At 41.5% G+C, this 24,275-nt stretch overlaps 1 long non-coding RNA gene across 1 annotated transcript in view, besides 3 other annotated features; it reads right to left on the reverse strand.

Moving 5' to 3' along the window:
* LOC107986891 (uncharacterized) overlaps window positions 1-23,372 on the reverse strand; it is a 45,183-nt gene extending 21,811 nt beyond the window's left edge. Inside the window, exons 1-2 of the long non-coding RNA XR_001745719.1 lie at window positions 23,301-23,372; window positions 19,651-19,743 (exon numbers count right to left, since the gene is read on the reverse strand). This is a non-coding gene — a long non-coding RNA (uncharacterized LOC107986891). The remainder of the gene's footprint in view (window positions 1-19,650; window positions 19,744-23,300) is intronic.
* Window positions 2,748-3,248: an enhancer, noted in NCBI's record as "H3K4me1 hESC enhancer chr8:74096970-74097470 (GRCh37/hg19 assembly coordinates)". NCBI's record gives its function as "activates a minimal SCP1, AML or CMV promoter by ChIP-STARR-seq in primed H9 embryonic stem cells {active_cell/tissue: H9 hESC(primed)}" and the evidence as "EXISTENCE:reporter gene assay evidence [ECO:0000049][PMID:30033119]".
* Window positions 2,887-3,181: a silencer, noted in NCBI's record as "tiled region #3216; K562 Repressive non-DNase unmatched - State 21:Repr". NCBI's record gives its function as "represses a minimal TATA promoter and a strong SV40 promoter by Sharpr-MPRA in K562 cells {active_cell/tissue: K562}" and the evidence as "EXISTENCE:reporter gene assay evidence [ECO:0000049][PMID:27701403]".
* Window positions 3,249-3,749: an enhancer, noted in NCBI's record as "H3K4me1 hESC enhancer chr8:74097471-74097971 (GRCh37/hg19 assembly coordinates)". NCBI's record gives its function as "activates a minimal SCP1, AML or CMV promoter by ChIP-STARR-seq in primed H9 embryonic stem cells {active_cell/tissue: H9 hESC(primed)}" and the evidence as "EXISTENCE:reporter gene assay evidence [ECO:0000049][PMID:30033119]".
* Window positions 23,373-24,275: the final 903 nt, after the last annotated feature.

A 24,275-nucleotide genomic window follows, 5' to 3' on the forward strand; every position in this document is an offset into this window, starting at 1 on the left:
ATCATAGTCTTGGTAAATTTATGTCTTGCTTTTAGGCTAATGGGGTAGAGCAGAGACCTTTTCTTATATCTGCTTCTTCTCGATTGCCTTCAGCTCAAAATAACTTTTATGCCAAAGTGGCGTATCTTAGGGTGACATGTTCTGGTCTTCTGCAACAGACAGAGGCTACAGATGCCTGCCTGGCATCCTGAAGAGGGAGAAAGAGAGTGAGAGTCGGTCAGGCTGTTTCCAGCCAAATAGATGCTGGAGAGGGAGCCAGCCATGCAGTTACACTCCAGGATGCACGGCTGAGTTCGTGTCCCGGCATATTTTCTCCTTGTCACTGAAGCCCCAGCTGCCTAGAGTATTTTATCATATGTAAGTCGTGCCATTATTTTATGTACCACAAAGAAGAAACATTTATGCCAATTACACTGCATCATAATGCTTTCCTTTCACTTTGACTTTTAATCATTTTACACTTATTTTGACATAGATTTTATTCTACATCAAGCTTGTACATAAATGAAAAGAAAAATATAACTGAAATAAAATGGCTGCAATAATTCCTAAAACTTCTTCAAATTCAATGTCTGATTCTTCTGAATCATTTTTAGACTGTCTTTGGTGTCTGTATTTTTCCTGCACAATATCATCCTGTGTACCTTCAACAATGTTTGTAATACAGCACCTTTAAAAAAGAATTTAAAATATATGCTATATATATATATTTTAAATTAACTTATTTACTCTCATTCCTTTGATTTCTAAAGGGAAGATAACCTCAGTAGCTTGTTTCCCTAGCCTTTCCTTTTATTTGCCCCTTTGGATATGAAAAACCTGTTCTGAATTATATATTATATATAATATATATGTTATATATAAAATATATATATTCCAATAGAAATTTGAAATTTGATCTGTTTATTAGATATTAGGATATTGATATTAAATTTCTTGGGTGTGATAATACTATACCCTAGAAGAATGTTCTTATTCTTAAAAGATACGTGCTGAAGTGTTTAGCAGTGAGGTGTCATGCTATTTGCATATTACTTTCATATGATTCAGCAAACAAACATACAAACAAAATGCCCAAAGAAACATAAAGAGTGATGAGTAAAGGAAATGCCTTCAAAATGATATCAACAGGAAAATCTAGATAAAGGATATACAGGTATTCATGGAACTATTTTTTAAATTGTTCTTTAAGCTTAAGGTTTTCCAAAATTAAATGTTATTTCGGAGTGGGGCATAGTGGCACACACCTGTAGTCCCAGATACTCATCGGGAGGCTGAGGCAGGAGAATTGCTTGAACCCAGGAGGCAGAGGCTTCAGTGAGCCGAGTAGGGGAAGAGCGTGCTTCACTGAGAAATCCACTCCAATAATTTTTTCCAAGTTTTCTCAAGCTGCCAACACCAGTTCAGATCAGATCAGTGCTTTCTTGATCTTACCAAATGGATGTCCACATAAGTTTTCAGACAGGAATCATGATTCACATTCCTTCCCCCAAGGGGTCCTCAGAGTTTGCTCACTGAAGCATCACTGGTTGCTGCGCCGTTTTTCAAGCATGACACCCAAGAAGTAACAACCAGATCCATCTATGTGTAGGCAACGGCAACTATGTCAGAACTGCTGCTTGACTGACAGTGGTTGTGATGGGAATCCCTGTGTCAGAGATGTGAAAACATGGCAGTGTGGGAGAAGGTGTATCTTCAGATTGAACAGTTGACATACACATTCATGCCACTGGCAGTTATGGATCTCAATGTGGACTAACCAGCTGGAAATCTGGGTTACAGGTCAGTCTTTGTGAGCAGGAGTTATTCCCCTTGGTCTGACCAGAGTTTCTGGAATTCCACATCTGGATCATCTCTTGGACCATGTGACCCTTTCCAAGGTACCACCAGTCAGTGAAGCCTTGACTGAGTACCAGAGTATCAGCCTTCTCTTTTTTTTTTTTTTTCTTTTCAGACAGCGTCTTACTCTGTCGCCCAGGCTGGAGTGCAGTGTGCCATCTCGGCTCACTGAAGCCTCTGCCTCCTGGGTTCAAGCAGTTCTCCTGCCTCAGCCTCCCGATGAGTAGCTGGGACTACAGGTGTGTGCCACTATGCCCAGCTAACTTTTTTTTTAATTTTTAGTAGAGATGGGCATTTACCATGTTGGTCAGGCTGGTCTTGAACTCCTGACCTCAAGTGATCTCCCCGCTTTGGCCTCCCAAAGTTCCGGGATTACAGGCGTGAGCCCCCGCACCCAGCCCCAGCCAGCTTTTTCCCCTGTTTGGCATCTCTGTCTCCACTGTGTCTGGGGGCAGCAGGGATCAGCACTGTCTAAACGAGACATGGCAAGCTTGCAAAGAAGGATTTTTATACCACATGTATCCTTTCCAATATGATGGTAACAAAGAATGGGAGACCCTATTTCCCTTGGTTATACCATTGACTTAGCTGCTATCTGAGAATAATAATGTCTGCATTGCCTCCTCCTGTCTTCAATAAATATTAAGTTGCTGCTATACCTCATAGGATTATTGTGAACAATCAAAGAGAGACCCCAAAAAAGTAGTATGAAGTAGTCCCATTATCATAAAAACAAAGGTCTTTGAAAGGACAGATAGGGATAATGATCCCAAAACATAGTTGAGGACACTTTCTTCTTTAATGAACTTATTTACTCTCATTCCTTTGGTTCCTAAAGGGAAGATAACCTCAGTAGCTTGTTTTCCCAGCCTTTCCTTTTATTTGTCCCTTTGGATAGGAAAAACCTGTTCTGAATTACTCAAATATGCCTAGAACTCAAAAGCATGCTTGTGATTATGCCCCTTTACACATTTAATGTGGAAAAACCTCACTAACAAGAAAATAGGCCTGCTTGGAGATAATAAGCTCCCTTCCTCCTGTGGTCTCAGTACATCCACGTGTTGCTCCCTCACTCCTTTGAGGTGCCCGCCCCTGCAGCTGCCAGCCGCCCTGGTGGTGCAGCTCTTCCCACCCTGAAATGCACCAACCCCTGAAATGCAAACTCTGGGTTGTTGACATTTTCTCAACAAAGGGAGGAAATGTAAGTAAATCAAGGCAAACAGAAGTGACTCAATCTGCTCTAACAGCTTTCTATTTTATGACTTGGAATACACAAAGATAGACACCAGAGATGAAGCACTGCGCCCAAGGCCAGGCCAGGCGGCTCCGCAGACGGGCAAGGCTCCGGCTACTGACACAGCCCTCCACCCTTTTTGATCACCTCCTCTTCACCCCATTGGTGACGGAGAGAGTCCCACCCTAGCGTTCTGGGGATGGCTGAACACGCAACGCCCAACACTGGGCAGATGAGATCCACAACGGTTTATGAGTCACATAGTCACAGCCCGGGGTAGACACTGCACGCCAAGCAGGGCCACACAGGGGTTGCACTCGGGAACACAGTGAGCAAGCAGGGGCTGTGGGAGACAGGCCTTGGAGTACCAAGAGGGTGGGGTTCCCCCTGGTTCCCATGGAAGGATGGGATTGGCCTGTTTGAATCATTCCGTGGGCCGGCAGAGAACTGCAGCGTGATGCTTAGGCATAACCGGCACTGTGCCTGGTCTCGGTGATGTGCAGTGTCGTTTGGCAATGGGACCTTATCCAGGGGAGCAAAGTGGGGAGGGAAACCTGTGGTCAGGCCATTCGAGGTCCTTCTGGTTTCGGATCTGAAAGCAACATATAATATCGGGCCCTAATTTTAGGCCTATAATACATGGCCTTCACTGCGTCGCCTTTTTCATCTTTTGTGTTCAGCCTACGGATTTCTCTTCACTCTCTTAGCCTGTTCTTTTCACTGTATCATTCTTCATTAGCTATATTCGTTACTTTCATAGAGCACTGTTTCCTACCTGAGCAGCCAGATTCTGAAGCCTTCAGTAAAAGGATATTTTTCTGGGGGAAACAGAGATGGATCATATACCCAGAAAGAAATAAGCACTATTAAGGCAGAATCCGATTCAGGGGCGGTCGCTGGGGTTTTGCCCATTTAGGGCAATAGATCCTTACTCTCACGTCGGATGGGGTCTGTGCAATCCAGAGATATAGATAGATTCACAGAGGAATCATGGAGACATTATACAGATGCCAAACATTTGAGGAGAATGACTAGCTCCGGCTCTGTAATTAGCTCTCATTCGATTTACTGTGCTTTGTTAATTACAACAAATTATACAGACGTGCGTAACCAAAGCTGCACGCTGCAGAATTAATTATAGATTTACAGAAGTTGCAAAAATGGTACAAAGATGTCCTATGTGCCCTTCACCCACTTTTCCTCAATACTAAACTCTCCCATGCTGTTTGCTTGCCTTTCTTTTCTTTCCTTCTTCTCTTTCTTTTCTTCCTTTTTTGTCCTTCTTTTCTTCTTTCTTCTTTATGTGCTTCACAATCCATGTATATTACTTGGATAACAAGGAAGAGAGATTATTAAGAAGAATTTTTACAATATAAATTATGAGAGCACAAGGCAGTTATCCTCCCTCCCTTGCGTGTACAAGGAGGAAGGAATGTTGTGGTCCAGCTGAGGCCTCATAGTCTCGCTCCACCCTGGGGCTGGAGTGTCTGCTGCAAAGTCAGGGCAGCGGCAGAGTTCTTAGCTTTGCTCACGCGTGGTAAAAGTCTCTTCTGTGCTGAGTCCAAGGCTGTCTCACCCTTCGATGTGTCTGCAGCTCTCTGGCTTCTTGTGCTCCTTAGTAGGAAATAGCATTGTGCTGCTTCTGCTGCTGCACGTCTTGGTCCTGTGTGTCAAGGTCCCCACCCCTATAGTGGCCAGTGCTCCATCACCAGGGCAGAGGAGAGCTGCTCTTAACCCCTCTCAATGGGATTATTCACTTTCATCCTGGGCTTCAGACTGAAAACAGACACTTCCTAGATACTTTCTGTGCAACACATTGAAAAGTCACCTCCTCTTGGGCTCCCAGGAGCTCAGGAGGAGACCCCTGGCCTTCCAGCTGAATCACTGCAGGGGTGGCACTGTGGGGAACACAAGAGAGATAGCAAGTGGCAGTTTTCATTTTCCTCCTGTCCATAGCTATTAAGAATATTAGGCCAGGTGAAGTGGCTCATGCCTGCAATCCCAGCACTTTAAGAGGACGAGGCAGGAGGATTGCTTAAGTCCAGGAGTTCAAGCCCAGCCTGGGCAACATAGCAAAACCCCGTCTCTACAAAAAATTCATAAATTTGAATCAGCATATGGATTTCTCTTCATTTTCTTTCTATAGCCTCTTCTTTTCACTGTATCATTCTCCATTTGAAATTTGAAATTTGAAAAATTTGACTCTGACTACTTGTGAGCAAAGCTAAGAACGCTGCCGCTGCCGTGACGTTGCAGCAGACACTCCAGCCCCAGGGTGGAGTGAGGCTATGAGGCCTCAGCTGGACCACAACATTCCTTCCTCCTTGTACACGCGAGGGAGGGGGAATAACCGCCTTGTGCTCTCACGGGCATGGTGGCACGCACCTGTGTCCCAGCTACTCAGGAGACTGAGATGGGACAATCACTTGAACCCAGGAAGCAGAAGGTGCAGTGAACAGTGATTTTGCCACTGCACTCCAGCCTGGGCAACAGAGCGAGACCCTCTCTCAAAAAAAAAATATATATATATATATATATGTATGTATGTATATTAATACCAGTCCTGCCTGTTATGAAATTCAGGATGTTCTTGTTGTTCTGTCTTATGTTTTTCTATTTTTCCTGACTTTGATTTAAGATCCTGGAGTAAATTCTCAGAGAGTATCCAATAATCCTCTTTTCAAAAAGTTACTCAGAGCAAGACAGATAACACCCCTCAGATGTCAGAGCAGGTGGCAGGCCTGAGGAGGACACCTGGGCCCCGCCATGTCACAATGCCACGTTGATGCTAACACTGGCCCCAAGCTGCACCACTGAGGAGTGAGTTGGAACTTTGCTCCATGAGACTTTTTGGGCCACAGCCTTAAGAAGCTGAGGCTTCCCCAGGGCCTCCCTCCTACATAGTAAAAATTGATTTGCAGAAAGGAATAGAGAAAAAAAAAGAGTTCTTAATTCTATTGTAAAATGCTGTTAAGTGACTATATATGTAATGTGATGAACTAGCTGAGATTTTACAAAACTAACTGGTTTACTATAGGGACGCATCCAGCAGAATATCCAGCACACGACAGGAGAAAGCCTGGCCTCTAGGAGGCCGAGAGTTGCTAGTTTGGAGTCAGATCCTCTTGGAAAGTCAGGTGCAGTGGCTCACACCTGTAATCCTAGCACTTTGGGAGGCCAAGGTGGGAGGATGGTGTGAGCCCAGGAGTTTGAGACCAGCCTGGGCAACATAGTGAAACCCTGTCTCTACAAAAAATCTGAAAATTAGCTGGGCATGGTGGCATGTGCCTATAGGCCCAGCTACAATGCAAGGCTGAGGCAGGAGGATCGCTTGAGCCCAGGAGGTTGAGGCAGCAGTGAGCCGTGTTCATGCCACTGCACTCCAACCTAGGCGACAGATTGAGATCCTGTGTCGAAGCAAAAAACAAAAACAACAACAAATACTCTTGGATGTAAATCCCAGCTTCAGGATTAAACAGCTGTGTGACCTTGGAAGCAGTAGCTAAATTTCCTCATCCATAAAATGAAGCTTACAGGAATGCTTAATAAATGAATTGTAAGGAGCAAGTGAGATGCAGCATACACTCTGCTTAATACTCTGGTACACAGCAGGCACTCAAAAATATTAGCTGTTATCATTTGAATAAACGAATGCTAATAATAAAGATAAAAGATAAAAACAAAAGCATAGAGAAAAGCTTCTCTGCCCTGAATCAGCTTCTAAGTAGTTAACTGTTCTTGGCCACCACCGGCTTGGCCAGAAGCAAGGTATTTTTAGCTGTAGGCATGAGGCAGAACTCACCCAGGGCAGAAGCAAAGTACAACAGGGCATTCCAGCTTTCTAGGCTGGAATTATTCACTCTTGCTTGATAAAAAGCAACCTGCAGTTGTGCCTGCCTTTTCCTTATCAGTGTGCTCCTGAGAAATTGCAGAGAAGTCAAACTTTATACATCATCTTATTTTAATATAAATGAATAAGGGAAGGTTTCTTTTTGATAGACCCTTTACCATTTGCCCTTTTATATTATAAATTGTTGTCATTTTGTTAGATGCAGCTGATTGTTTATGCAGTTTCTTTAAAACAGGACATCCTGAAAGACTTTTGAATTGCCACTCCATTGACAGCATTTTTATAGAGGAAACAGAGTGAGAAAAATCATCATCTTACCAGCTAGCCCCGGTACTCTTAGGGAGGAAACTATCTTTGTTCAGGAAAACACCTTCATAAACCACTTCAAATGGAAAATGAGACCCTGATGATTCAACTGAATAAAATAAATAGCCAAATTTCACAGCACTAGAAATAAGCAGGTATTTGGGGGCAGAGTGGGAAGACTAGAATCGTTGAGCAACTCAGTGCAGTAGGAAAGGACTTTTGAAAACCAGATGGTGGTTACTTTTATATGTCAGCTTGGCTGGGACACAGTGCCCAGATATGTGGTCTAAATTACTCTAGCTGTTTCTGTGAGGGTGTTTTTGGATAAAATGAACATTTTAATATGCAGACTTTGAGTAAAGCACACTGCCTTCCATAATGTGGGTGGGCCTTATCCAATCAGTTGGAGGCCTGAATTGAATGAAAGACTGACCTCCCTTGAGCAAGAGGGAATTCCACCACAGAGAGCCTTTGGCCTGGCACTGCAGCATCAGCTCTTCCCTCGCTTTCCAGCCTGGCAGCCTTCAGAGTTGAACTGTATATTTTGGACTTGCCAGCCCCCATAAGCGTGTGAGCCAATTCCTTAAAATAGGTCTTCCTCTATATAAGCACACATCATATTAGTTCTCTTTCTCTGGAAAATCCTAATACAACCAGGATGTCTAATATTAAATATGAAGCTTTGTTGCTGTGACGTGCATTTCCACTCCTTTTTCTCAAACATATTCCCTCTGCATCCCAGCCATATACCTCGTGCAAGTGGTTGTGTGTGTATTCGTGCATGTACATGTGTTCACACACACGTGTGTGTGTGTGTGTGTGTGTGTGTGTGTGTGTGTGTAAACCAAAGGAATGGGCTAAGTTTCATGTCTGGGTTGTTATAGAATAGAACCAAAATAGCACCTAGCAGATGGCAATACAGTCCACAACCTGAGTGAGTTTAGGAGAACCAGGAATGTGGAGCTAGACACCACCATGAGAAAGAGCCCTTCCTCTGCCCCCGCAAGGAATCTGTACAGCTTTGGGGGCAATCAACAGGTTTCCACAACATTCAGGCCAAACTCAAGGAGCTCTTAAGAGACAGAGGGACTGATCTGGACATCTGAGTTCCATAAAAACAAAAATTTTTTTTCTTTTAAATTCACAGACTATATGTTAAGCATGTTCAGTTAACTTACTCAGAAGCAGACCCAGATGGTAAACTTCGCTGGTGATCACAGCTTGCTTCTAATTATTCATACACTCCTCTGAGATTAAGGAAACCTCCATACCACCAAATAAACCAAAACAAACAAAATAAAACCCTAAGAGAGGCAATGTGCAAAGAGAATGAGTTGATGCAACTGGTTTCTGTAGAAAGACAAACATGGAAAATGCCTCCCAGTGTGGCCCCAGGTGCCCCAAGACCAATGCTGCATCACCACTGGGCCAGGAGTGCTCTCCCCGCTGGGCAGTGAGGGAAGGACGGGGGAAGGAGAGGAAGGGCCATCTTAGGACACTGCTGGCGTGGGGGCCACCCATGACAGCACTGTCATGGTAGTCCATTCCCCGTGGTTGGTAGAAAGAACTAAGATCCTTAAGATGGCACACAGTCACAGAAATGCCTGAACTAACTAAAAATAATGATCTGAATCTAACTTCTTGGTGCGAAGGAGATGGATAAAGATCAAGAGGGGTTTCAAATTTATGTGTCTTAGGCAAGGAAAAAAAGGCTAATTTAGGAACTGGGCACTGCCCTTTAAGCTAATGGCCTCAGATCCTTGGATCAGTGTGTTAGGTATATGTTCAAACTGGTGGCCTCTTAGAGACACTAGGAAACACAAGTAGCATTGACAGTGTTTGGTGCTGTCATTCAAACACTCGCCCTCCTTCATACAGCTTGTCTTATCATTCTGTCAATCAGAATGTTTAAGGGAAGCATAATATTGTTTTTAACTGCCTGAAAAAAATCTAAACACACTAACGTTATTTTCTTTCTAAACCCTGTTATATAGTATAGGTCTATAGGTGATGCAGATGCCAAATGAAAGAAATGTGAGATGCATGATTTATTTTTAAAACAAAAACCAACACATTCCCACCATGAAATAGAAAGGTCACCACCAATAAAACCATCTAATCAGCCTCATTAGTATGTTCCTTTGACCACATTTCTCTTATTCAACAGAGCGTGTCTCCTCTGAATAACCAGGAGATTTCACAATAACACATGCAAAGACCAAAGAAGGAATCTGTGTGATGTGGCCAGCACCCATCAGACCATGGGGCACTTGCCCCAGAGGGAGAAGAAGAGACAAATATTTGAAGGGCAGCATCAATCTTCTGACAAATGCACATATCTGTAAAGCCTAGTAAAGTGGCAAAAAAGACATATCTGCATGCAACTACCAGAAATCTTATTGAGCTCCAAATGAAGGGCTCATTCTGATCCTCAGGGATTTGGAGCAGGATTTTTTTCAAGAGCCCATTTAACTTTCACTGCAGTTGGTCTTGGGAAGAGAGAGGTTCTAGCCCATGCCTCAGCAGGAGCAGACCTCTGCTTGGCATCAATGAAAGGTCCTGGGCCCAAGATTCCATAAGCGATAGGAAGTCTCAAAAGAGTCAATAGATTTTTATGATCTCAAGTTTGTCTTGAATGAAACACAATGTTTTGTGGCTTATGGATTCCTACCAAATCTAGATGAAAATCTTCCCTCAGGGGATTACTAATGTCTTTCCTCTGTGTCCTTGGCCACTGCTTCTCTTTCTCCTTTATGCTCCTTCCGCTTCCTCCATCCTGTGTCAAGTGCTGGACTGTCCCTGGGCTCAGTTATAGGCAGCCTCTTCTGTCTACATTCTGTCCCTAGGTAGTCCCATCCAGTCCCAAGGCTGTAAATATCATCTCTGTATTGTCAACTCTCACAGGGAAATTGTCACACCAGAGCTCTCCTCTGAGTATCCAACAGCCAACTGGACACATCCACATGATCTACGGCTTCACATGTGCAACACGGACCTCTCGACTTTCCCCCCAGATCCATTTTACTATTAGTAAGTGGCGTCAACATTTATTCCACTGCTCAAACTAAGCCTAGCAGCCATCCTGAATTCCTCCCTTTATCTCCTTCCCCTCTTTTCAGTGCATCATCCTGCTTCCACTTAGAATGCGTAAGAGAGCATAGCTCCCTGAAAAATGGGAAAATGGCTGGTCTCTACAAAACCATCACTTTTCTTCGAACCCATCAAATAGCTGAGGTCATAAGAGATACTGAATTCCACTCTCCCTGGAAGGTAAACTGAATACCAAAGAGTGACAAACCCTGTGAGGACAGATGAGACTCAAATATTGTTTCACCTTTGACAGAGCAAGAAAGGAAGAGGTGGCTACCATACACATGGGGAGACAGAAATTATCTAAAATTTTAACATATTCTTAAAAGCTAGTGTGGGTTAGAACATCAGTTTGGAATAGGTAGGATCACCAGACACAGGGGGAGTTTGTACCCACTTGCAAGCTCTTTCCACTGGCTTCTACCAGGTGCTCATGAGAAAGACTAGGGAAGGGGCAAGGGGCCAGAAAGAGAGATTATCTGAGTGCTACAGGTGTGGCTGAAGCCAAATTAAAAGGCCAGGACTGTCAGATTGGATTAAAAATGCAAGACCCACGTATATGCTGTTTGTAAGAAACCCACCTTAAAAATAGAAACACAGATGGGTCAAAAGTAAAAGAATGATAGGCCAGGTGCAGTGACTCACGCTTGTAATCTCAGCACTTTGGGAGGCTGAGGCAGGCAGATCACCTGAGGTCAGGAGTTCGAGACCAGCCTGGCCAACATGGTGAAACCCTGTCTCTACTAAAAATACAAAAATTAGCTGGGCATGGGGGCAGATGCCTGTAATCCCAGCTACTCGGAAGGCTGAGGCAAGAGAATCGCTTGAACCCAGGAGGCAGAGGTTGCAGTGAGCCAAGGTTGCACCATTGCACTGCAGCCTGGGGACAAGAGGAAGACTTTGTCTCAAATAAATAAATAAATAAATAAATAAAAGAATGGAAAAAAGATACACTATGAAATAATCAGTAATTATGAAATTACTAATAAAATGAAACTGAAATGGTTAATGCCAAACTAGATGTCAGAAAAAAGGAATATTGCCATGGATAAACAGAGACATTATGTAATGTGTAATGACAAAGTGGTCACTTCATCAGAATGACATAATAATCCTACATGTACGTGTACTTAACAGAGCTTCAGAATACATGAAGCATAACTGAACAAAAAAGAAATAGACAAATATACAATTATAATTGGAGATTTTAACACTCTTCTCTCAATAATTTTTATATATTTTTATTGTACTATGTATTCAAGGTATACAACATATTTTGATATATTCATACATACTGAAATGGTCTACAGTCCAGCATATTAATACATCCATCATTTCACACATTTACTTGTGTGTGTGGTAAGAACACCTAAAATCTATTCTCAGCAAACTTCCAGCATACAATACAATCTTGTTAACTGTAATTCTCATGCTGTCCATTAGATTAGGAGTCCTCAATCGCCAGGCCATGGACCAGCACCAGTCCATGGCCTGTTAGGAACCAGACCACACAGCAAAAGGTGAGCAGTGGGTGAGCAAGTGAAGCTTCATCTATATTTACAGCTGCTCCCCATCACTCAGATTACCAACTGAGCTCCACCTCCTGTCAGATCAGTGGTGGCATTAGATTCTCATAGGGATGCAAACCCTATTGTGCATGCAAGGGACCTAGGTTGCACACTCCTTATGAGAATCTAATGCCTGATGATCTGAGGTGGAACTGTTTCATCCCGAAACCACCTCTCCCCCTGCCCACCACCACACCACCACCACCATCCCCCTCTCCAGTCCATGGAAAAATTGTCTTCCACAAAACTGGCCCCTGGTGCCAAACATGTTGGGGACCACTGCATTAGATCACTAGACTTATTCATCCTACTGGACTGCAATTTTGTACCCTTTGACCTACATCTCCCCATTTCCTCCCTTCCCTGGCCCCAGTAACTATTATTCTATTCTATTTCTGTGTATTTGATTTGACTTGGTTTTTTTTAGATTCTGCATACAAGTAAGATCATGCAGTATTTTCTTTTCTGTGTCTGGCTTATTTCACTTTGTGCAATTTCCTTCAGGTTCATCCATGTTGTCACAAATGGCAAGATCTCCTTTTTTTTTTTTTTTTGAAACAGAGTTTCACTCTTTCACACAGGCTAGAGTGCAATGGCATGATCTTGATTCACTGCAACCTCTGTTCCCTGGGTTCAAGTGATTCTCCTGCCTCAGCCTCCTCAGTAGCTGGGCTTACAGGAGCACACCACAACAACCAGCTAATTTTTGTATTTTTAGTAGAGACGGGGTTTCACCATGTTGGCCAGGCTGGTCTTGAACCCCTGACCTCAGGTGATCCACCTGCCTCGGCCTCCCAAAGTGCTGGGATTATAGGCATAAGCCACTGTGCCCAGCTGATCTCCTTCTTTTTTAAGGCTGAATGCTATTCCACTGGGGTGTGTGTGTGTGTGTGTGTGTGTGTGTCACAATTTCTTTAGCCAGTCGTCTGCTGATGGATATTTAGGTTGTTTCCGTATCTTGGCTATTGTGAATAATGCTGCAATGAACATGAAAGTGTGGCTATCTCAGCCAGGTACTGATTTCTTTCCCTTTACATGTATACCTGGTAGCGGGATTGCTGGATCATACGGTAGTTCTATTTGTAGTTCTATTTGTAATGTTTTCATGATGGCTGTACCAATCTGAACTTCCACCAACGGTCTGCAAGGTTCCCCTTCCTCCACATTCTTTCCAACACTTGTTATCTCTTGTCTTTCTGATAATAGCCATCTTAACAGGTGTGAGATGCTCTCATTGTGGTTTTGATTTCTATTTTCCTGATGATTAGTGATGTTGATATTGAGCATCTCTTCTTCATATATGTCGGCCTCTCTCAATAAAGTAGATGGAAAATCAGTATGACGATAGCAAACAGTGCTATTAAACAAATGGCTTAATTGACATTTACAGAACACTCTAACCAACAATAGCTGAACACACACTCACTTGACATGCTTATGAAATCTCATCAAAATAGACCACATTCTAGGTCATAAAACATGCCTCAATAATTTTTTTAAAAATTACAATTGGTTGGGAGTCGTGGCTCACCCCTGTAATCCCAGCACTTTGGGAGACCAAGGCAGGCAGATCACCTGAGCTTAGGAGTTCGAGACCAGCCTGGCTAAGAGGTGAAACCCCATGTCTACTCAAAATGCAAAAATTGCCAGGCATAGTGGCTCATGCCTGTAATCCCAGCTACTGAGGAGGCTGAGACAGGAAAATCGTTTAAACCCAGGAGATGGAGGTTGCAGCTAGCTGGGATTGTGCCACTGCACTCCTGGGCAGCAGAGTGAGACTCCATCTCAAAATAAAAAAAAAATTAAAAATTAAAATCATATAAAACTCTGTTCTCTGACCACAGCCAATTAAAATTAGAAATCAATAATAAGAGAGTATCTAGAAAAGTATCTAAATATTTTAAACAGCACCCTTCTAAATAATTCTTGGTTAAAAAGGAACTCGCAAGATATATTATAAAATATTTTTAAGAAGATGAAAACAAATAACATACCAAAATTGGAGGGATATAGCTACAGCAGTTCCTAGAGGGAAATATATAACATTAAATGCTTATGTTAAAACATAGAATGGTCTCAAATCAACAGTCTAAGCTTCAACCTTAGGAAATGAGAGAAAGAAAAGTAAATCAAACCCAAGCAAGCAGAGGGAAGAAAATAATAGGGATAAGAGCATAAATCAGGTAAACTGAAAACAAATAGAGATAATCATGAAATAGCAACTGGCTTTTTGAGATGATGGACAAAATGTATAAACCTTGAACTAATGTAATCGAGAAAAAAAGAGAGAGAAGACACAAACTACCAATTTCAGGAATGAAAGGAGGGGAATCACTATAGATCTTACAGACATTAAAAGATTAAAAGATTATAAAATTAATAGCAAAAAGTCTGATAAAAGATAAATAGATTCAGTTCTTGAAAGATACAAACTACAAAGCTCACTCAAGAAGAGCAGATGACTGGAATAGTCCTATATGTATAAAAGAATTGGAACTTGCCATTAAAATTTTGCTTACAACGGAAAGTCCAGATCCAGATGTGCCACTGGTAAATTCTGGCAAATATTGAAAGAAGAAATCATTGCAACTGTGTACAAACTCTTGCAGAAAATGGAAGTGGAAGGAATATTTCCCAAACTGTTTGATGAAGTCAGCATTACCCTAATACCAACCTAGACAAAGGCCTTAAAGAAAAAACTACAAATCAACAACTGAAAACAATTCAAATGTCATTAACTGGTGAATGAATAAACAAATTGTGCCATACTATCAAATGGAATACCACTCAGCAACCAAAAGGAACAAACATGCGACAATGTGGATAGAAAGCATTATGCTAAGTGCAAGAAGTCAGACATAAAAGGTAACATTCTGTATGATTTCATTTATATGACTTTCTGGAAAAGGCAAAACGAAGACATCAGATTAGGTTGCTGGGGTTAGATTGAGAAAAGGGGATGGACTACATAAAGATCACAAAAGGACTTTTTGTGGTGATTGAAATATCGTATGTCTTGGTTGTGATAATATTACATGCATCCATTTGTTAAACTCATCAGACCACACACCTCAAAAGGGTGACTTTTACTGTACTGCACGTGAATTATTCCTCAATTAGCCTGACTTAGAAAACCTCTCAAAAAAAAAGAAAAAAAAAAGTAGGGGGTGAAGAAAATCTCTCCAGGGAATTCCCACTGTTTTCAGGAAAAATCTAAACCCCTTGCTGCAGTCTCTTAGAATCTATTCTTTGCATGTTTCTCCAGCTTCATGCTTTTCAAGAACATTTAATGAGTTGAGGAAAAAATCTCATAATAGAATATTAAGTGAAAAATGATATATGCAAATCAGCTTTTACAGTGGGATATCAACTTTGCATGGGATGTACACCACATGTACAGAGAAATACCTATTGGTAGGAAACATACCAAAAGAATAGCTTCCTTTGGGAAGTACACTTTGTGATTTTTATTATCCTCTTGTGCTTTTGCTTTTGTGTGTTTTCCAAATTTTGCAATGAATTTAATAATAAAATATTAATTTCATTTATTTATTATTATTACTACTTCTACTGTTATTATTATCTTTTGATCAGGGCCTTGGCTTTTAGTGGAATGGTCCATAATCTTTAGCTCTTTCTCTCCTGGGGCTTCTCTTCCCTCTCCTTTCCTCTGATTCTTTCCCACTAGCCCCCCACCCTCACCTCCCTTCACCAAAAGCTTCTGGAGCTCCAGGGCAAACACTGAAGACATCTTGGTGTTTAAATTGATGTGCTTTTAAGGTTGACATTTCTAGGAACTCCACAGGGGGCAGGCAGGGAGCAGGGGGATGGATATGGGTTCTGGCCTGGCAGAGGCAGTTGCAACCTGCCACACTGGGGATCTTTGTAGGTAACAGATTGGGGAATAATGAGGTCAAAGTGGAGCCTTGACCAATACCATGAAGTTACTTCGTGTATCTTGTATTTGTTTTATAATCAATGTCTTAAAAGAATAATATTTTTTGGAATATGTGACTTTGCAAGAGAAGTTGCAATGGAGTTTTTTTTGCTATTTTCCAGCACCTAGAACAATGCCTGGCACCTAGCATCTGATCAATAAATACTTGTTGAATGCAATGGATGGATGAACAAATAAACAAACAAATGAATGAGAGTGGAGGCAGTAAACAGAAACTAGACCCAGGGAGGTTGAGGCGTGAACAGGAGTCGAGGAAGTTGACAGAGGAAATGGGGATCATTGTTCAGAAAAACTTCCCAAAGGAGAAGAGAGATTGGCTAGTAGCTAAAGAAGGACAGGGAACCAAGAGAAGTTTTGGCTTGTTTTTTGTTGATTTGTTTAGGATAGGCGGGTCTTCATCATGTTCATAATCTGAGGAGAATGAGCCAGCAGAGAAAGATCAGAGATTATGAGAGACGCGATTACTGATGAAGTAGGGTCCCAGGGGATGGCAGGAAAAGAGGTGGAAAGCTTGGTAGGAGTGTTGGTAGCAAGAAAGGCTCCCCAGCCTCTTCAGACCAGAGATCAGTGCAGACTCACAGAAACCAGGAGAGGATGGCAGAGGGGATTTGACAAATTGTTTAGGTGAAGTAGAAGGTGAGGGCATCTGCTAAGAGAACTGAGTCAGTAATGAAAAAAGAACTGATAAGACCAAAGAGAGAGCTTAACAAAGAGAAAACAAAAAACTGAATGGGGCCAGGTGCGGTGGCTCACGCCTGTAATCCCTGCACTTTGGGAGGCCAAGGAGGGTGGATCACCTGAGGAGTTCAAGACCAGCCTGGCCAACATGGGTGAGACCCTGTCTCTACTAAAAATACAAAAAATTAACCAAGCGTGGTGGTGGGCACCTGTAATCCCAGCTACTTGGGAGGCTGAGGCAGGTGAATCACTTGAACCCGGGAGGCGGAGGTTGCAGAGAGCCGAGGTCACACCACTGCACCCCAGCCTGGGCAACAAGAGTGAAACTCCGTCTCAAAAACAAAAAACAAAAAACTGAATGGCAGCACTGAGGGCCCAGCTGAGCCTAGAAGTGTGAATTTGTGGCCACCCCATTTGACATAGCTGTGTGGGCTTTTCCAAGAGTTCACTACCACCTGGAGGTAGATGGGTTAGGGTGGGAGTGATTCCAGGCTGAAAGTTTGCAAGAGGCATAGAGACAAGAGGCTGGAGAGCAGGGGATACTGCAGAGGAAATTCAAGATGTGCTTCTGAGAACCCAGCTCACAGGCTGGTCGCCAGACCACCAAAGTCCTTACCAGGGTGATGTCTAGGAAACTTTGTTCCTGTGTCTCCTGTGAATTCAAAGATAACTCAAATCAACGGACGTGTCCAGTGATACTGAGAAACCATTACTTTTCCTTTGGTCTTTGATTCATCACGGTTAAATTTAATCCTAATTCTCCAATAATATTGGCTACCAATTTGCTGCTGCCCTGTTATGAAATATGAATATGACTCATCTGAACTTGAGTTTCACTTCTTGACATATGTACCAATCAAAATAATGAGAAAAACAGCAAGTCAAATTCCTTTCTAATAAGCATTTGTGAGCTCTTAGCTAGTACATAAGGGGAGGTGGTCCAAAAAAGAAGGCCTTGTTATATCTGGTGAAGTTGGTAACGCCTAAAAGACTGCTTTTTACAATTAACAACAAATCAGAGATAGTCTAGCACAGCAAAAAGAAAACAGCATTAGTAATCAGACAACTTGGATATTAGACTCAGTTCTATAATTAACAGGCTGCACAAACTTGAGAAAATCACCCACTGAACTAGTTTCCTGATATACAAAACAAAAGGATCAAGCAAGAGATTGGGTGAAATTCCTTCTAATTTTATAGACTTATATTTTTGGGATCTGTATAAAATTTTGGACCCCCATCAGTACATGACTTATAACAGATGCTTCACAGATGGCATTGAACCAAACTGAGGTGAACAAGAGGAAATCAAATAGAAAACACAGAGTTTTCTTCTGATAAAGTCATGGCCAAACCTGTGCACACATGTAATGCTAGAAACAATCTTGGAGGTAATCACCAGCCTCTCTCTCTGTCTTTATTATATTTTTAATATAATAAAAAATATATTTTTATATATAAATAAAAACAATATATATTTTATATATTATTTAATATACATGTATTAAAATATATTAAAATAATCTTTTATATATGAATAAATAATACAATAAAATATATATTATATATAAAATATACATTATTTTTATAAATAAATGTGTAAATAAATATACACATTTATTTATCAAATATCAGTTAAAATTTTTTTAAAATATGTTTTATTTCCCTCAGTTGTAACTTGATGCACGCTCATGGTAAAAAAAAGAATTTGAGACTCAAGAGTAGAGCAATTTTCCTAGAAGCTCCATTGACTAAAGGCTTTGCCCCCAAAATCCCTGAATCCCAGAGAACAGAGTTAATCCTCCCTGTACTTGAAAGAAGTAATAGAAAGGAAAGTAGAAAGCCATTCATTAATCAGAATCTTTATAATAGCCAAGCTTATGAACAGGTTCAAAATGGGCTGTATCAGTGAGAGTTGCTCACAGAAGCAGAACCAAGGAAGTGACTTACACAATTGTGGATCTGATGTCTTAGCACGTTCAGCTGCTACAACAAAATGCCATAGACTACACAGCTTAGAAAAAAATGCTGGTTTATTTGACAAATTTTTACCCAGGTAAAATTAACCTGCCCCTTTGCAAGAAAGATAAAATTAGTCGATTAAGATGTGGAGAAAATGTAATTTCCAATTTAGTTAAATCCAAAGGTGTAAGCTGAAGATACTCTGACTAAACTTCAAGTCCACTCTTGGTGTTTGAACTGTGCCACTGCCTCTCTGTGGAAGTGCTTCAGAATTTTATTGTTACTCTTATTGTTAGTGCCAAATACTGGTGTGATAGTGCTTATATGGGTCATAACCATCATTTTAAAACTTCTTTTTTGTTGTTGTTTTGCTTTTATTTTTTTGAGACAAGGTCTCTCTCTGTCACCCAGGCTAGAGTGCAGTGTGCAATCACAGCTCACTGCAGCCTTGACTTCCTGGGCTCAAGTAATCCTCCCACCTCAGCCCCTGCAGGCACTACAGGCGTGGGCCACCGCACCTGGCTAATTTTTTTTTTTTTTTTTAAGAGACGGAGTTTTGCCATGTTGCCCAGGCTGGTCTAAAACTCCTGGGGTCAAGGGATCTGCGGGCCTTGGCCTCCCAAAATGCTGGCATTACAGGCATGAGCCACTATGCCCGGCCAAAACTTCAATTCCAGACTCAGCGCATGTCCGCTTGCCTACCTTTCTACCCTGTGTGTCCCTGAAGAAAAGTGTCTGGAACAGCCAGCTCAGAGAATGGCACATAAAGGCTATCAGTGCCTGTGTGTAGAATAGAACTGAATTTCTACATCATTGTACACAGATGCAATGTATCTAAAGACTAAAGAACGAACTAAAATCAATTAAAAATCATTTATTAGATCTGTCATCTGAAACTTTTTTAGAAAGAACTAAAGTGTAAATTTAAAAAAATATATTATTTGCACTTCTATTTTTGACATGAATCATCATTATAATGAAAGTCTTCTGCCTTCTTCAGAAGTATGAATAACAGCTGCTAAATCTTTCCATCAATATTTTCACATTGCAACAAAAGCAAGCAGGATCTGGGATTTTGTTTCACGCAAAAATACTTTCACTATATCAGCTAAATTAAAATCTACTCATGAATTTGTTAGCAAGTCTTTCCTGTTGTGGATATTACCTTTCGTTTGGTCTTTAACCATATCCTTCATTCGTCCAAAACTATTTACAAGGGCAGGACAAGTGTTTGCTGATGACTGCAGGAGGCCAGGTGCTATGGGCAGAGAAATGGACAGGAAGAATCTCACTCATTCAGACACATGCGGGGCCAGTTTACCACACTATGAAAGCAGTACATCACAGTGGTTAAAAGCCCTGGCTTTGGAATCAGGAAGATTTGAATTTGAATCCCAGTTCTGCCACTCACGCTATGTGAGCTGGGGCAAGTTACTTAACCTCTCTGCATCCCATCTGCAATATCAATATCATATTTACATTTTCCTCCCAGGGCTGGTGAAAGGTTAAATAAGATGGATATAAAGCATTTAGCATCCTACTAAAAAAAGGTTTAATAGAAGATAGCTGTTATTAAATACTTAATGAAGGGAAAAGTCTGAATTGTGAAATTTTTATTATGTATTTGTTACTTTTATATACATTTAATAACAAGTATACATGATGACCAATATCATCATTTTTAACATAATTATCAATAGATGTTTCTGGAAACCTGGAGAAAGGAGGAGGTAAGTAATTATTTAGCTGAATAAACTGGTATTAATATAGCCTAGCAAAAGACTTGAAAGAATCGTCTTAAATGATTTAGGTAAAAAAATGACTGAAATTTGCATGTTGTTTCTATGTTAGCTAGAGCTCAAAAGTACTTGAAAAAAATTTCCTGAGTGTTTTATTTACAATTTCCTTTCACTATTAAAATTTTATGAAAACTCATTTGATTAGAGATAGTACAAAACTAAATTCTAGCCAGTACTAGTGTGAATGGCACAAGATTTAAAACCAGCAGAATCCGAGTGGATGTGGTTTTTCTCCTTATGTGCGTTCGTGTGTGTGTAGCATGACATTTATACCTAGCCCACCCAGAGACCAAAACAAGGTGCTCATAGGAGAACCAAGCATCTTGGGGTCAGTCACTTTTAATCAAATTAATGTAAACTTAGCAGAACAAAACCTTCTCTACCAGATAAAAGCTGTTGGGCCTGTGGGCTACTTGGGTTAGAAACATTCTTCAACCTTTTTACAACCATAGTACAGAACTACGTTTTTATTCCCCTCCCAATAATTCTGGGCATATCTTTGGTAAGGCACTTATTGTCACGAAGTAGTATCCTGGAGAAAATATCTCCTATTTAGGGTTCAGGAAATAGATCTTTTTAAAAATTCTGGGTTACCACTGAGTACAGACTGTGGGAGAGGAATGACACGACCCCACGCCGTTTACTTTGTCTGTCCTTGGCTGTGGTTCCTCCTTTTGATGGAGTCACCAATTAGGAATCCAAGTCGGCGCAGAGTTCAGTATTCATGAGGGTTTGGGCGGGCAGCGGCATGGAGTACCCAGGGATTCCAACATATTCTCATGACTGAGACACTTTGAGGGAGCCTGACTGGGTAACAGAGAACAGCCCTGACCTTTCAACCCGATGAATTCAAATGCAATTTGTCATCCAATGTAAAATGAATCTGACCATGTGTAATCCCGTAGGATGGAGAGGCCTTGTCCCGGAAAAACTCCAGAACATGAAAGAGGGGCATTGAAAAATAAAACCCACCAAATGGTTAAGGGCACACATCGATATGTCAATAACAAATTCCTTTTTCCAAAATAATGAACAGCCCTGTGATTCCTTGGGCAGGGTAGACACCATGAACACACACAGGAGTCGAAGTGGGGAGTTGCTGCTCTTTTTTTTTCTCCTTGGAATTTGAAATACGTTTTCATATTTGCTTTTCACTCTCTCCTTTTTAACGTTTAAAATTAAGCCATCCTGTGCTGGTTATTGTGTTCTCCTCCTCTTTGTAACCACCGAAGAAGAAAGCTTGAATTGTTACTGTCTCTCTCTTATTTCTGAAACTGCTTTCTCTGGGGAACTTTCTGAATGGATCAGGGCCTGGATCAGGGCAGGATAGAACACACCCTCTGGGAGAGGCTCAGAGAGCCAAACCTGAGATCAAAGCACCCAATCTCTCAAATTCTCTGAGGAAGTGTCCTGGTAGTTCCAGGACCTACTCTGCTTTTTCCACCCAGGGAGCTTTCAGCTGCCTTAGCATTATTTCAAAGAGTATTTTCAAAGTAAATCTCCTGGAGCTGGGTGCAGGGGCACATGCCTATAGTCCCAGCTTGGACTGCTTGAGCCAAGCAGTAAGTTATCAAGGCAACAGTGAGCTATGATTGCACCACTACATTCCAGCCTGGGTAACAGAGTGAGACCCAAACTCTAACCCACCCCTCGACAAAAAAAAAGTAAATCTCTTTTCTGCTATTGTTTCCAGTATGCTTAAGCGTCACCATTAATTGGGTAGCAATTATAAAGGCTGGAATGGCCTGCAAGCCCTGTGAATTATGACATGCATTGTTCCTTTGGCATTTGAATTTCATCATTAACGTCCATTTGAAAGCTTACAATTATGAAATAGAGTGATCTTGTAAATAACTACAAATAATTCACTGTGTGTGAGCACAAGCACACACTTATGCCTAGAAGTCATTTGGTCGATAAGAGTAAAGAAACAAAGACTTCTACAGCTTTAACCTCTGTCCTCTCTATTTTCTCTTGAAGTGTTTTTGAATTTCTTCCCTTGCAAGATCAACAAAATATTCAAGTCTGCGGGAGGGGAGAGGCTGGAGACAAGTGGGTTGAAGGGTACAAACATACAGTTAGATAGAAGGGATACATTCAATGTCTGAGAGCAGAGTAGGGTGACTATAGTTAAGAAAAATGTTTTATACTCGGGTGATGGACACCCTAAATACCCTGAGTTGATCACTACGCATTATATACATGTAACACAATTTCACATGTACCCCATTAATTTGTATAAATTTTTTTTTAAATTCAAAGGTCTCACCCCAACCTGTCAGAGACATCTCTTAAGCCACAATAAGTTAACATCAGTCTTGCCATTTGTAATTATAGAAGAAATATCTCCACTTTCTAGACTTCTACTTTCATGAGGAGCTCAGTGGCCAGGAATGGACCATGACCCAGTGGAATTGTTATGATTTGGAATATTTGAAAAGGTGAACTTTTATCTAAACAGGGTGGTCATGAAAACTATGCTGCATTATTTTCTTTCCCACTTTTATTGTTAAAATAATTGCATTTTGTTACTGTTAAAATATAACAGGAAGAAATTTGCTGCATATCTTTGTTATAAAACATGTTTGCGGCTGGGCGCGGTGGCTCACGCCTGTAATCCCAACACTTTGGGAGGCTGAGGCGGGCAGATCACGACGTCAAGAGTTCAAGACCAGCCTGGCCAACATGGTGAAACCCTGTCTCTACTAAAAATACAAAAACTAGCCGGACGTGGTGGCAGGCACCTATAGTCCCAGCTTCTCAGGAGGCTGAGGCAGGAAAATCGCTCGGACCCAGGAGGTGGAGGGTGCAGCGAGCCGAGATGGCACCACTGCACTCCAGTCTGGGCGACAGAGAGAGACTCCATCTCAAGAAAAAAAAAAGAAAGAAAAAAAAAAGAAAGAAAAAAGAAAACCTGTTTGCCTCCCTTCCCCATCTTTCTCACCTCCCCATACAGAGCTGATGTCCCAGTCACTAATTTTTCACAATCCTGCAATAATGACACACATATTCATACCTTCAAGCCAACCAATGGGCTGTGTTTCCACAACTTGAAATGACCTTCTTGACCTCGTAAAGCCTCCTCCAAATGTTCATACTCCCCTGTAACTCACAAACAGAATTAGGTGCTCTGACCTGTTTTCTCACACAGAATTTTACACACACCTCCATGTCTGCACTTAACCTCTCAATTGGACTCGGCTGCTTACAGGTCTTTCTTTCCCTCAGTGAAGAGCCAAAACACCTATTCATCTCAGCACTCTTATTTTTTTAATTTGTGTCATTTTAATAGAGTATGTCAACCTAGATAACAAACAGAGGGAAACTCTCTAAAGCAAAATGACATTTATTTGGGAATGGGCATTGCAATGGGAATACATGTGCCATAGTAAACTGTGTGTTCAGGGAGATAAAGGAAGATTTTTAAAGAAAAAAGGAGGATTATATAATTATTTTGCGATAATTATCCTTGGCCACACAGATCAATAACAAGGTGGTACCAGTCCGAGGCTGGATAGGAAGTTTTTGGGCAAGTGTCTTCAGCAGAAGTTTTTTTTTTTCTTTTTTTTGAAATGTAAGGTTGCAATGGCCTTTGTGCAATGAAAGGTTGTGGTTTTGGTAGAGTCTTGTATTACTTTTTTGCTGTTTTTGTTTTTGAGAAAAGGTCTCCTCTGTTGGCCAGACTGGAGTGCAGTGGTGCAATCACAGCTCATTGCAGCCTCCATCTCCCGGGCTCAAGCAATCAAGCAATCCTCCCACCTCAGCCTCCCGAGGAACTGGGACTAGAAGTGTGAGACATCACACCAGGTAATTTTTAAATTTTTCTGTAGAGACAAGGTTTCATTGTGTTGCCCAGACTGGTCTTGAACTCCCGAGCTCAAGCGATCTTCCCTCCTCTTGCTGGGATTGCAGGCATGAGCCGTTGCACCCGGCCTTGATAGTTCTTGTTATCAGGCATTCGTGCATGAGATCCCTTCCTTCATGGCCTTCC

The sequence above is a fragment of the Homo sapiens genome, chromosome 8 (genome assembly GCF_000001405.40).
Source record: "Homo sapiens chromosome 8, GRCh38.p14 Primary Assembly".
NCBI classification, from domain to species: Eukaryota; Metazoa; Chordata; class Mammalia; order Primates; family Hominidae; genus Homo; species Homo sapiens.